General features: G+C 41.6%; 2 long non-coding RNA genes across 3 annotated transcripts in view; one reads left to right on the forward strand and one right to left on the reverse strand.

Annotated features, from left to right (window-relative positions):
- CASC15 (cancer susceptibility 15) overlaps nucleotides 1-13,806 on the forward strand; it is a 529,408-nt gene that overhangs the window by 148,392 nt on the left and 367,210 nt on the right. The window lies entirely within an intron of this gene.
- On the reverse strand, nucleotides 10,976-13,579 carry LOC105374970 (uncharacterized). Of its 2 annotated transcripts, none has more exons than XR_926573.4 (3): nucleotides 13,491-13,579; nucleotides 11,443-11,586; nucleotides 10,976-11,064 (listed from the first exon to the last, which is right to left on the reverse strand). It is a non-coding gene; the product is annotated as an uncharacterized LOC105374970 (long non-coding RNA). The 2 variants fall into 2 exon arrangements; XR_007059493.1 differs by having other exon boundaries at nucleotides 11,443-11,571; nucleotides 13,491-13,566.

A 13,806-nucleotide genomic window follows, 5' to 3' on the forward strand; every position in this document is an offset into this window, starting at 1 on the left:
CTGAGTAGCTGGGATTACAGGCGCCCGGCTAATTTTTGTATTTTTCGTAGAGACGGGGTTTCACCATGTTGGGCAGGCTGGTCTCCAATTCCTGACTTCAGGTGGTTCACCTGTCTTGGCCTCCCCAAATCCTGGGATTACAGGCATGAGCCACCATGCCTGGCTGCTATACTTAATTTTTAAGGAAAGTAATTGTTCATAAACACACAGAAAAGAGCAAAAAAATCTATTTCTTTTCTACCAAGTGGGTCTTGATGTTTCCATTCACATCTTTCTCATGCAATACCTAACTTGCCAGTAACGAGATAAAGAGCTTCAGTGGGGAGGGAGGAGATTTCCTCAATCCACCTACATTTGATCAGATTTTCTAACTTAAAGAATTGAAAAACTCTATTGTGGTTTTTCAGAAGAAATTACGATGATATAATTTATGTTCAGAATATTTTTTGAATCAATTCTTTTTTTTTTTTTTGAGACAGAGTCTTGCTCTGTCACCCAGGCTGGAGTACAACAGCGCTATCTCGGCTCACTGCAGCCTCCACCTCCTGGGTTCAAGTGAGTCTCCCGCCTAAGCCTTCTGAGTAACTGGGATTACAAGCACCCGCCATCATGCCTGGCCAATTTTTGTATTTTTAGTAGAGACAAGGTTTCTCCATGTTGGCCAGGCAGGTCTGGAACTCCTGACCTCAAGTGACCCACCCGCCTCAACCTCCCAAAGTGCTGGGATTACAGGCGTGAGCCACCACACCCGGCCTTGAATCAGTTCTTTATCTGAGTGCTAGATTCCCTTTGAAAAAGAAGATTCTGTTTTTTTCTCATTTTTTTTCTGTAGCATCTTAGAACTGCAGCATGTGCAGAGTTGATGCTCAAGACATAATTAATGGGTTAATGGATAAATGAACATCTCCCTAAACCTTGTCCTCCCCTCTATTTTATTATACTCTTGGCCAGTGCCATTGTTCTTGAGAATCTCTGCTAAAGCCAAGTGACTTGGTTTGCGATCTCTTGCACACAATGTATTAGTTTTCAGTTTTTACTTTGCACAAAGTATTCTCTCTCTCCAGGTTGCCCTCCTTCCCCCATTTAGTGTTTCACATTTGTAATCATTGACAAAATCTAACCCCATACTCAAACCTTCTTGTAGTCCTCAGCTTGTGGCCCTGTCCACCTCGAGCTCCTCCTCACTCGGCAGCTCTCCATTTTCACCTTAGTCATCAGCAGACACTAGACTGACTTGCTGTGTTTGGAGCACCCAGAAGCTGAGGTTTTATCCTTGGAAACGGAGGATCTTTACTGTGATGGAGGATTTGGGAGTGTAAAATTTGAGTGTGTGGTGGAAGGGACAGTTCATCTTCTGGGACAGAACACCCGGGGCAGACAGATCCCGGAAAGCTGGGGCGGTGCTGGTGGCAGTCCCGACACTGTGCCTGCATTGATGGGTTCACATGTACCTGAGATGAAGCGTCTTTCAAGGATGACTCTTTCACAGGCCTTCTCCTTTCTCTGACACTAGTCATTAAGAGATTAGATTTCTTGAAATATCAGCAGTTGTTGGCCCCCTTGCTGAATAAAGCTTGGTAGCCTAAGGAGGAAGGGATTTCTGAATAGATTTTCAGCCCTGAAAAAATGCTGAGTTTTAAAAATAAACATTCATGGTGTAATGTACTCTTTTACCTCCTGCGAACGGGCATATGCTTTTCAAAAATGTAGTTACAGTCAAGGGCATTTAGAGGTGTTTGTAAAGAGGAGGGGGAGAGAGAGAAAGAAAGAGGGAAAAAAAGATTCTTTTGTTTCTCCTCCTAGTTTGTGGCCATGGCACAGTGTGATTTGAATACTCCAATTCTTATCATATATAAACTTTGTGTTGGGAAGGAATGGCTCAAATTGCTTCAAGATTTACACAGGGTTTTTTGTTTTTGTTTTTTTTTTGAGATGGCGTTTCACTCTCGTCGCCCAGGCTGGAGTGCAATGGCGCGATCTCGGCTCACTGCAACCTCTGCCTCCCGGGTTCAAGCGATTCTCCTGCCCCAGCCTCCGAGTAGCTGGGATTACAGGCGACCGCCACCATGCCTGGCTAATTTTTTGTATTTTTAGTAGAGATGTGGTTTTACCATGTTGGGCAGGCTGGTTTCGAACTCCTGACCTCAGGTGATCCCCCTGCCTCAGCCTCTCAAAATGCTAGGATTACAGGTGTGAACCACTGCACCCGGCCAGTTTTTTGTTGTTGTTGTTTTGAGACAGAGTCTTGCCCTGTTGCCCAGGCTGGAGTGCAGTGGTGCAATCTCAGCTCACTGCAACCTCATCTCCTGGGTTCAAGCGATTCTCCTGCCTCAGCCTCCCGAGTGGCTGGGATTATACGCACGTGCCACCATGCCTGGCTGATTTTTGTGTTTTTAGCAGAGACGGGGTTTCACCATATTGGCCAGGCTGGTCTCAAACTCCTAACTTCGTGGTCTGCCTGCCTCGGCCTCCCAAAGTGCTGAGATTACAGGTGTGAGCCACTGTGCCCGGCCAGTTTTTGTTTTTTAAACCAATGTTTATACAAGAAGAGTTTGGAACTTATTCATGAATAAAGTCATTCTTTGGCCTGTTGTGTAGCAACAAGGAGTGCTGGATTTTATGGAAGATGGCTTGTGGTACTGAAGTATCAGGAGAAGGAATGAATAAGGGTGAAGATTCAAACTGGTAGTAACATCTAGAAGCAAACTAGGAGAAAATTATTTCACGAAGGGAAGGATGTGACTATTGATGGGAAGGCTGTAGCCACCAATCTGAGAATACTTTAAAACAAAAACAGAGATAGAGCCTGGCATGAGCAGTTTAGGATCAAAATGAACAGTAGGCCCTAGAAATTTGTAACATTGATGTTATCTTCTCTATGAATCGTTGGTGGGGTCAAGAAATAATTTTCATCAGCGTCTTGACTTGTGTGGCCAATTAAGCAAACGTGTGTCTGCAGTGTAAGCCTGTTAAGTGGAAAAGGTTGGGCCTACTGGGTATAATTGTAATTGAGAACAGCCCATCATCTCTCTTTTAATTTTACGAAAATAAATGCATATTCTAAGTAGAATAAAATCATGGTTAAGAAAAGAAAAATGTTACATCTGTATCAGTATGTGGATTTCATAGGATTTTTTTCCTTCTTCTGTGGGACCTGAGATTCATTTGAAGTAACCTTGGCAGAAAGACCTTAGTTAGTCAGACTCTAAAGGATATTTTGAGCTGGAATATAAAAAGCACATGTAATAATTAATGTAACAGCAGCTAAAAGTGCCTGAGGTCAGTAGTTGCTACATCTATATTGCATGTAAACAAAGTGTTAGCCAAAACTACTTTCAGAGAGCCCTAATTACGTCTGTTTTAATTTAATTTAGTTTGATTTAATGATACTTTTTATATGAATTTGCTTCATGGTTACTCTGTTGAATTTCCTTTCCCTGAGAAGAACCCATAAGAGATTTTTTTCCCCCAAATGATTTAGTTTGGTGACTTTGGATACAGCCAAAGCATTGTATCTTACGGCATAGCATCTTCAAGTGGAAGAATGTACCAGATATAAAGTCAGTAATTTAAGATGAATTAAAATTTTGTTTAGTTTTTAAAATATGAGATTTACATACAATGAAGTACAAATATCTTATTGGTGTATTTGTGTGTGTATGTGTGTTTTGTTTTTGTTTGTTTGTTTTTTGAGATGGAGTTTTGCTCTTGTTGCCCAGGCTGGAGTACAATGGCGCGATCTTGGCTCACTGCAACTTCTGCCTCCCGGGCTCAAGCGATTCTCCTGCCTCAGTCTCCTGAGTAGCTGGGATTACAGGCACCCATCACTACACCTGGCTAATTTTTTGTATTTTTAGTACAGTGGGGTTTCACGATGTTGGCCAGGCTGGTCTCGAACCCCTGACCTCAGGTGATCCACCTGCCTTGGCCTCCCAAAGTGCTGGGATTACGGGCGTGAGCCACCGCCCCAGCCAGTGCATTCCTTGAGTTTTGACACATGCATATCCTTGTGTCCCTGGGACTCCTATCATAATATGGAACATTGCCATCACCTAGCTAGTTTTTTCTTGCTCCATCCCGTCAACCACTGCCTTACCACCTCCAAGGGCAACCTGTTTTGTGTTGTTTTGTTTTGTTTTTCTTCCCCATTGTCCATTCGATTTGCCTGTTCTAGGGCTTCGTGTAAATGAAGTCTCATAATCTCTGCTCTTTTGTAAGGCTTCTTTCATGCGTAAGCTTAAATTTAATAGTTTTTCACAATGTATTTAATGGAAGCTATATCATAAGAAGTGGTGTAGAAAAAAGAGTGGTCCTGTTTCAAAGAAGAAAGAAGGTAACATTCATTGTTATTTTGAAATGGCTAAAGTTGAAAATGTTTTTTATTGATCTATTTGCTAGTTAGAATTTTAATTGTGATAATTGTAGATTTACATCAGCTGAAGAAACAATGTAGCTTTACCTGGTCTCCCCTAGTGATAACATTTAGCAAAACTGTAGTACAATATCATAACTAGGATTGATATTGATGTAATCTACCAATCTTACTCAGATTTCCATAGTTTTACCTGTACTCATTTGCGTGTGTGTGTGTGTGTGTGTGTATACTCAGTTGTGTGCAGTTTTATCACATATATAGGTTTGTATATCTACCACTACAGTAAAGATGCTGAACTGTTACAGCATGGATCCCTCCTATTGTTTTTTTGTAGCTGTACCCAGTTTCTTCTCACCAGTCTCCTATCCTTATCCCTTGGAAACTACTTATTGGGTCTCCATTTCTAATAAACTTCATATATGTAAATAGAATCATATAGTTCATAATCTTTTGGAATTGGCTTTTTTCTTTCTTTTTTTTTTTTTCGATGGGGTCTCGCTCTATCACCCAGGCTGGTGTTCAGTGGCGCTTTCTCAGCTCACTGCAACTTCGGCCCTGCCCCAGGCTCAAGCCATTCTCCTGCCTCAGCTTCCTGAGTAGCTGGGACTATGGGCACCCATCACCACACCTGGCTAATTTTTTTTTGTATTTCTAGTAAAGATGGGGTTTTGCCATGATGGCCAGGCTGGTCTCAAACTCCTGACCTCAGATGATCCACCCACCTCGGCCTTCCAAAATGTTAGGATTACAGGCGTGAGCCACCCCACCCAGCCTATTTTTTATTTTAACCATTCTGATAGATGTGAAGGAGTATCTTATTGTAGCTTTAATTTGTGTTTCCCTGAGAGCTAATGATGTCGAACATCTTTTCTTGGCCATCCATATATCATCTTTGGTGAAGTGGCTGTTCATGTCTTTTCCCCATTTTCTAATTGAAGTTTTAAAAATCTATGTTTAAAGCCGGGCGCGGTGGCTCACGCCTGTAATCCCAGCACTTTGGGAGGCTGAGGTGGGTGGATCACCTGAGGTTGGGAGTTTGAGACCAGCCTGACCAACATGGAGAAACCCTGTCTCTACTAAAAATACAAAAAAAATTTAGCCGGGTATGGTGGCACATGTCTGTAATCCCAGCTACTTGGGAGGCTGAGGTAGGAGAATTGCTTGAACCTGGGAGGCGGAGGTTGCGGTGAGCCGAGATCGTGCCATTGCACTCCAGCCTGGGTGACAAGAGCAAAACTCCATCTCAAAAAAAAAAAAAAAAAAAAAAAAAAAATCTATGTTTAAAAGAAAGATTATGCAAAGCACAACCCCAGTAGGTATCAATAACATTTGAGAAGAGTACCTCAAAAAAGATCTCACTAGACTTGAGAGATACTATTAGATAAATAAATTGAGCCAATTGATGGGTGTAGGTAGATGCTCTGCAACAAATGGGTAAAAAGAGGAACTGTCAACTTTTTGTCGATCCCACAGTTGTCTTGTCAATAGCTTGGGCTTCCAGTTGTTCCCGCTTACCCAGGTTCTGTGCTCTTCCTCTCTTCTGCCCTAGACCTTCGATTCTTTCCATTCCTTTTCTTTTTCTTTTTTTATTTTCCAAGACGGAGTTTCACTTTTGTTGCCCGGCATGAAGTACAGTGGTGCGATCTTGGCTCACTGCAACCTCCGCCTCCTGGGTTCAGGTGATTCTCCTTCTTCAGCCTCACGAGTAGCTGGGATTACAGGCGTGCACCGCCATACCCAGCTAATTTTTACATCTTTAATAGAGACGGGTTTTCACCATGTTGGTCAGGCTGGTCTTGAACTCCTGATCTCAGGTGATCCACCTGCCCCAGCCTCCCAAAGTGCTGGGATTACAGGCATGAGCCGCTGCACCCGGCTCCATTCCTTTTCTCTGCGACAAACCTGCGTGGTGATAGGTCCACTCCCTTGACTAGTTTAATTCTGAAGCTTATTGATGGATTCCTCAAACAGATCTTGTGGACCAAATTATTCTATTTTTCTGTAGAGCCTGGCGATTTGAGATAATCTATCTGCACAGTTTTGTAGTGTTTGCTTCCATCACTCAAGAGTAAGACAATATGTCAGAGTTATCTTGATGGAGGGATAAGAGAGAGATAGTTTGGAGACAGAGCAGAAAACCTTTCTAGTGTACTTGGTAATGAGTTTACTGCAGACTGACATATAGGGGACATCAGGGCATTTGCTTAGATGATGCATTTCTGTCCAAGTAATAGGGTGCACAGGAGCCCAAGGCTTAAAGACAAAATAACCTGTATTTGTGTCCTTGTTCTGCCCTTACTTAGTGACACTGGGCAGATTACCTAACCTCTCTGAGCCTCCACTTAATTAAAATGTAGTGATACTTCCCATACTACCCACCACAGTGGGTTACTGCAAAGATCAAATGGGATAATGTAATGCACTTGTCAGTGATAAAGCTCTATACAAATGTAGAGAGTATGTTTGTAATAATTATATTCCTCCTCTCCACAAAAGCAAACACAACCTGGAAGAGAAACAGGCATTTTCATAGAATGAGGTCAAATGATCACTATAAGTTTCTTGAAGGAGAGGAAAACCCTGAAGCATTATTGTTTTCTTTTTTTCTTTTCTTTTCTTTTCTTTTTTTTTTTTTTGAGGTAGAGTCTCACTCTGTCACCCAAGCTGGAGTGCAATGGCATGGTCTCACCTCACTGCAACCTCTGCCTCCTGGGTTCAAGTGGTTCTCCCACCTCAGCCTCCCTAGTAGCTGGGACTACAGGCGTCTGCCACCACACTTGGCTAATTTTTGTATTTTTTTTTTTTTTTTAGTAGAGATGGGGTTTCACTATGTTGGCCGCGCTGGTCTCGAACTCCTGACCTCGTGATCCACCTGCCTTGGCCTCCCGAAGTGCTGGGATTACAAGCCTGAGCCACCGCGCCCGGCACATTATTGTTTTCTTAGATGTGATTTTAATTTTGTTTGCTAGGCAATAAACTGCTGAAATAATTAACCAGCAATAATTGCTCTTCAGTTAGGCTCTAATATGACCACTGAGCAGAGCATCTAAGAGACTTAAAATTGAGTTACTTTAGGTGTATACCATTCTTACCCATTTAAATTGTAGTTTTAAAGGTGGGTTATGAGTTGGCTTGCCAGTCAAAGCCTTGCTTGGGGTCGTATTTCTCTGTACTTTCATCTTTAATCATCAGCTAGATTAGTCTTCTGGTTGAGTATAGAAGCCAGAGAGACCTAGGTTTATACAAGGAGTGCTATTAACTGTGTGTGACCTTGGACCAAAGATTAGATCCCTCTCTTTATCAGTAATATGAATTCAAGTGAAATTGTTAATTTACCACCTACACTGTCAAATTATTTGGATATCTGCCTTTAAGTAGTAATGTTACAATATATAGTACACACAAGAGAATTGGTATCCTTGTCTGTAAATTGAGAAGTTCACAGAAAAGGTTGATGAAGGTCTGATCAGGGGCGAAATTGTTTTGTTCTAAAATATATCATTGGTAGCAAGCAGTTTAGGTTTGGATGAAACCAAAAGCCAGTTCGCATGTGTGTAGTTCTATACCCCAGGTCTTAGTTTGGGCAATGTACTTTTGTGACTTAGGATAATTATAAGGTCTCAAGGCTACTGTGAGGATCAGATGATACTAACTGTATGAGAAAACGCTTTGGAAATTGTAATGTTCTGTGCAAACTTTGTTGTCAGTTGTATAGACCACAGTGGAGGAGGTGGTGGTAGTAGAAAGGAAAGGATGTGTTTGTCAAGCTTGAAAACTTGTGTTTAGGAATATTTTCAGCTAGTTACTGGGCAGTGCTTGTAAAAAAAATTCTTAAAAATTTCCTTCTAGCGGGGTGCAGTGGCTCACACCTATAATCCCAGCACTTTGGGAGGCTGAGGTGGGCGGATCACCAGGTTAGGAGATCGAGACCATCCTGGCTAACACCATGAAATCCCGTCTCTCCAAAAAAATATAAAAAATTAGCCAGGCGTGATAGTGCATGCCTGTAATCCCAGCTATTCGGGAGGCTGAGGCAGGAGAATCTCTTGAACGCAGGAGGCAGAGGTTGCGGTGGGCCGAGATCACTCCATCGCACTCCAGCCTGGGTGACAGAGCGAGACTCCTTCTCAAAAAAAATTAAAAAAAAAAAAAATTCCTTCTAGACTGCATGGATCTCACACTACTCCACTCTTGGAACACACAGCCATGAATTGAATCACTGTCTACTTTACATTTTAGCAATTCAGTTTTATATGGTGACATTTACAAAATTGTCCCTTAAATCTGGGAGAGCCAATGCAATGACTTCAGATAGCACAATGGGGAGAATCTTAATGGAAACCCAGCCAATGATTAGATTAGGTGACAGGAAGGGGGTCAAATGGATTAGGGGAAAATGAGGAAGGAAGTGAGTTGAGTCATTATGCTTTTACTTACAGTATATTTTTACAATTGATTCTGTGGGTAGTATGTTGTTTAATTCATTACAGCTTTCAAGGACCAATTTTAGATTAAAAGCATGAATGATTGAAGCTCTAACCAAACTCTAATCCTAGATACTAGAAACCGATGACTTTTTAATGTCTTTTAATCTGAAATAGATTATGGCTTTTCTGTAGCTTTGGACTGTTCAAATGTTTATTTCCTTTAAAATACCAACAGCTTACTTCACCCTCTTTGCAAACTTCTAAAGGGGTTGCTTCCTGCCGTTTAATATAGGATATTGACTTTCTAAAGAGTGTGCATGTTTTAAAGAGACTTACATTAGAAATTTGATGTCTGAAGCTTGTCACTCTTTTATTAAGAATTTAAACATTGTATCTGATTACAATTACAACGCATAACCTTTGTAAAACCTTATTACTTATGTTTATCTTACTTGCATCCAATGATATGTCAATTACTATATTCAGTCATTGCCCTGAAAAATAACTCCAAGGAATTTATTAAATGGTGCTTTTTCCTTGATTTCCACATTGCGCCCTTTGTGGCTGATTTCATGTAGCCCTTTACCTGGAAGTCAGGCTTGGGAGTGATCTTGGCCAGCTCTTGTGAGTGGGGCCAGGTGAAAGGTACATTCTTCTTTCTTTCCCTCTGCGTGCTTGGCGGCTTCTGGAGCAGGTTAGCCTCACAAGTTTCTTTTGTTCTTGCTCTAAAATTTGTGGATGTTCATTAATTCCCATGTGTTTAAGCAGCCTGCAGCTTTTTCTACTGACCCATGCGTGGTGGCCACTTTGAGAGGGAAGTTAATATTATTCTCATTTTTTGATTTAGTCTATAATTTGACTAAGTCTTCGGAGTAGATTTCTCTGTCCACCCTATTTAAAATAGCAATATTGTCCCTCCAATACTTTGTCATTCTCTGTCCCTTTTACCCTGCCTTATTTTTCTTCGGAGCGCTTAAACGTATCTGATGTTATACTAAATATTTGTTTGCTGACTGGTTTACTGTTGGCCGGTCTCCTAGAATGTAAACATTGTAGGCAACAACTTTGACTCTGTTCATTCAGAAGAGCGCTCGGCCTGGCAAATACACAAGTATTTGTTGGATTAATTAATTAATTAAATTTAATGCCATGAAACACACCAATCAAGGAGATAGATCCCCCTAAGGTTAAGCTTATTCCAAATTCTAAGTTTGGTATCTTTGAAACCTTGCTCCTTTCTCTCCGGCCTCAGTAACACTATCTTTTGTTGCATGAGAAAAAAAAAACTCCCAAAGAACATTATTTTGGGAGGAAGAGAGGCAAATGAATATGGGTGTCAGGTTATCAAGTAAATATTGGAACAATTTATAGCCTATGATTGGGAATGTTTATTTTGCTTAAATGTGTATTTGGTCTGACCTTGCAGTTAGAGTTACTCAGGAAGTTGCCTAAATGTTAATGAATGTTTATGATGTGGACTATAAGCTGAAAGCACTTAAAATATAAATATTTAAGCCATATGTTAAAAAATAACCAGAGCATTTGCAGCTATTTTGGATTGTGGAGGGAAATTGCCTGATTTATTGATAGAGCTGGGAATTTGGAGTCCTGGGTTCTAGTTCCATTCCTGCTTTTGGCAGCACTTCACAAAATGTCTATGTTTAATAAATGTTTAATAGGACAATATTAATCCTTTTAAAAATAATATCTTTGTATCGCTTAGACTTTTTTTGTGCTCCAATTTCTCCAGCTTTTTTTTTTTTTTTTGAGATGGAGTCTCACTCTGTCACCCAGGCTGGAGTGCAGTGGCAGGATCTTGGCTTACTGCAAGCTCTACCTCCCGGGTTCAAGCAATTCTCTTGCCTCAGCTTCCTGAGTAGCTGGGATTGCAGGTGCATGTCACCACGCCCGGCTAACTTTTGTATTTTTAGTAGAGACGGGATTTCACCATGTTGGCCAGGCTGGTCTCAAACCCCTGACCTCAAATGATCCACCCGCCTTGGCCTCCCAAAGTGCTGGGATTACAGGCATGAGCCACCTCACCCGGCCCCAGTTTCTCCAACTTTATTGATATTTTGTTAGCTTGCTCCTCAGGGTTTTCTTTAAACAAAAAAAAAAGCCAGAAGTTTCCCACGTGTGTGTGTGTGTGTGTGTGTGTGTGTGTGTGTGTGTGTGTGTGTGTATTTGCAGGGAGTTTGATTCCGTCTTCTCATTAGTGCCGCATTAATACATTTTTCTGCCTCACATTTGTTTAAGCTTCACCTGAAAAAACAAAGTAATGTCGTACTTAAAATAGAGTATAACTGTACCTCATGTAGTAAACGTAATTTATAAAGAACCGAACTAGATGAATTTTGATGGGGAAAAGGGAATGTTGTTTCCAATGAAGGTAACCAAAGATGAGAGCTTTGTTATCCCAAGCACAGAGGCTGGACCTGGATAAATCTTGAAAGCAAGCAACTAGGCACAAACCAGGTGCCTATCGAAAGAGGTCCCTTTACCACCATTAGTGTTATCAGGGCTTTTATGTCAAACTTCTGTCTGTACTGTGCTGGGTGAATTTTTAACTGAACAGGCTTTACAATTGGAGCAATGGGGCTAAAACCACTTCAGAATTCCAGAGGCCTTACTCAGCCCCACCTCTCAGTTGGCTCTTTCCATGCACTCATCTCTCTGCGGGGCTTTCTCGAGGTGTGGTCCTGGGACCACCGGCATCCGATCACTTGTGGCACTTGTTAAAGCTGCTAATTCCTGGTTTCGACGGTAGACCTGCTGAATCAGAAACTGTTGGGGAAGAGTCTTGAAATCTTCATTTTTAACAAGCACCTATCAGGTGATTCTTAGGCACATTAAAATTTGAGAGCCTGTGATATATTCCCAGATTAGTACTGTCACATCTCTTAAGGTGGCACTTTATTTTACTTTTATTTTTTAACTTTTATTTTTATTTATTTATTTATTTTTTTGAGACCGATCATACTCTGTCTCCAAGGCTGGAGTGCAGTGGCGCGATCTTGGCTCACTGTATCCTGAGGCGATTCTCCTGCCTCAGCTCCTTGAGTAGCTCGAACTACAGGCAGGCGCCACCATGCCTGGCTAATTTTTGTATATTTAGAGAGACAGGGTTTCGCCATATTGGCCAAGCTTGTCTCAAACTACTGACCTCAGGTGATCTGCCTGCCTTGGCCTCCCAAAATGCTGGGATTACAGGTGTGAGCCGCTGCACCCAGCTGGCACTTGATTTTATATCTTTTTCTGGACTGTGCTATGCTATGAGTGGAGGGGAGAAAACTGAAATATGGAGAAAGATCTTTGTTCTCCTCCAGCTCCAGTTCCTTAATAAAGTTCATAGGAGGAACAGAGAGCCTATACACTCATTTCTTCAATGTGCCTGCTCTTTAGCGGGATATCCTATATCTACTAGATTTTAACATACTGATTTACATAAGCAAGGAACACTTCGACAGACCATTGAGAAAATCTGTGAGCTTAGCAAGAGCACGCCACTGATGCGCGTCACCGTTGGGTGAGGATGTTATCTGGCTGACCAAGCCAGATGCGTTTAATATGCAGGGTGGGTTGGGGCTAACATTTCAGTACTGAGTGACATTGAGGACTGGTTAATGTGATTGACTGATGTGGAATCTTCTCCCACACGGTATATGGTGGGTCTTACGAGAGAGTTGGGTAAAAATAGTGTGCTAAAGGTTCAAAAATGGAACATATGTGGTCAAACCTCTGTGATACTTGTTTATGAAGACTGTAAGGGTTGGAGTTTCCTGATGTGTGAAATGCAGCCCTACTAATGTAAGGGTATAGTCTGCCTGAGTTTTTCAGGAGTGGGCTCAGGGAGGATGCTTTCAAACCCTTTCGAACAGTTAGGAATTCTGGAGCTTTCAACTAGTCATGGAAAAATTGAGTTTTGTTGTACATTGAGCACCTGTGATGAGAGGGGAAAAGGCAGTTTCATTGGTTTACTTAAGTCAGCAGAGAAGGCTGCTGTGCACAGCTTCCATTGCATCATTCAAAAAGAGAGTTTGTGTGGGAACTTTGCAAGTCAGTTTCCCTGTATGAAGTGATGGAGAGAGTGATTAAGATACTGAGCTTTCTCTGTGTTCTTGCCGTTAACCATTGCCGGTTTGTGGGAGATTAAGAAGTCGATGCGTTTTATGGAGAATTAATTTATTTTGATATAGACAGATGGACGGGTCATGAAAATTTGTTGACATACTTTACTAAACTGCTACATTAGATCAAATATTCCAAAAAAAAAAAAAAAGGGGTTTGAAGAGACCCAGTGACTTACAGGGTATGCTTTTATCACTGATGTGAGAAGACATATGAACACATTGAACTTAAAACAGTAGCAAACCCAGAGCATGGCTCAGCTGTTTGCAGACCAGCAGGGCAGACACAGCTGTGCTTATACATTATGCTTGTAGGAGCTGGGGGCTGTGCTCAGTCCTCATCTCAGAACCCACCCACGACATGTGGATGCAGGGACGTCTCACAATTTTAGAAGAGATTCACAGTTTTTCTTGGGCCCAATCCTGACTTAAATTCCTATAGCTGCTTTTGGAATATACACCTCTTCTCATTCCTGTTCAAAATTTGGATTCTCTACCTATTTTGTAGGCTTGTGGGAAGGATTAAACCAGACAATATTTATAAAGTTCCCATCCACTTACCGATGCACAATAAATTCTTGGCAAAATGAGTCCCCTCCCCTCCGTGAAAAAATAAAACGTATTGATAGAGGGAAAGGAATTTGTCCAGAGATGCAAAGCACTGGTGCTGTCAGCGGCTTTCTCAGGCTTTTTCCTTCCAGCAGTTTTCACCCGAGACAACCCCAAAGTGTCCTTTTACCTTTTAGTAGGACATGCAGTTGTGAGGGAGAGTCAGGTTTTCCTTGTTTATGCTTCCATAGTTTTTACCCTGCAGACCCTGAATATTTTTGCCCTTAGAACATAAAAAGGAGAGATAATGAAGCAGCCTGTTGTCACT

Source organism: Homo sapiens, chromosome 6 (assembly GCF_000001405.40).
Source record: "Homo sapiens chromosome 6, GRCh38.p14 Primary Assembly".
Lineage (NCBI taxonomy): Eukaryota > Metazoa > Chordata > Mammalia > Primates > Hominidae > Homo > Homo sapiens.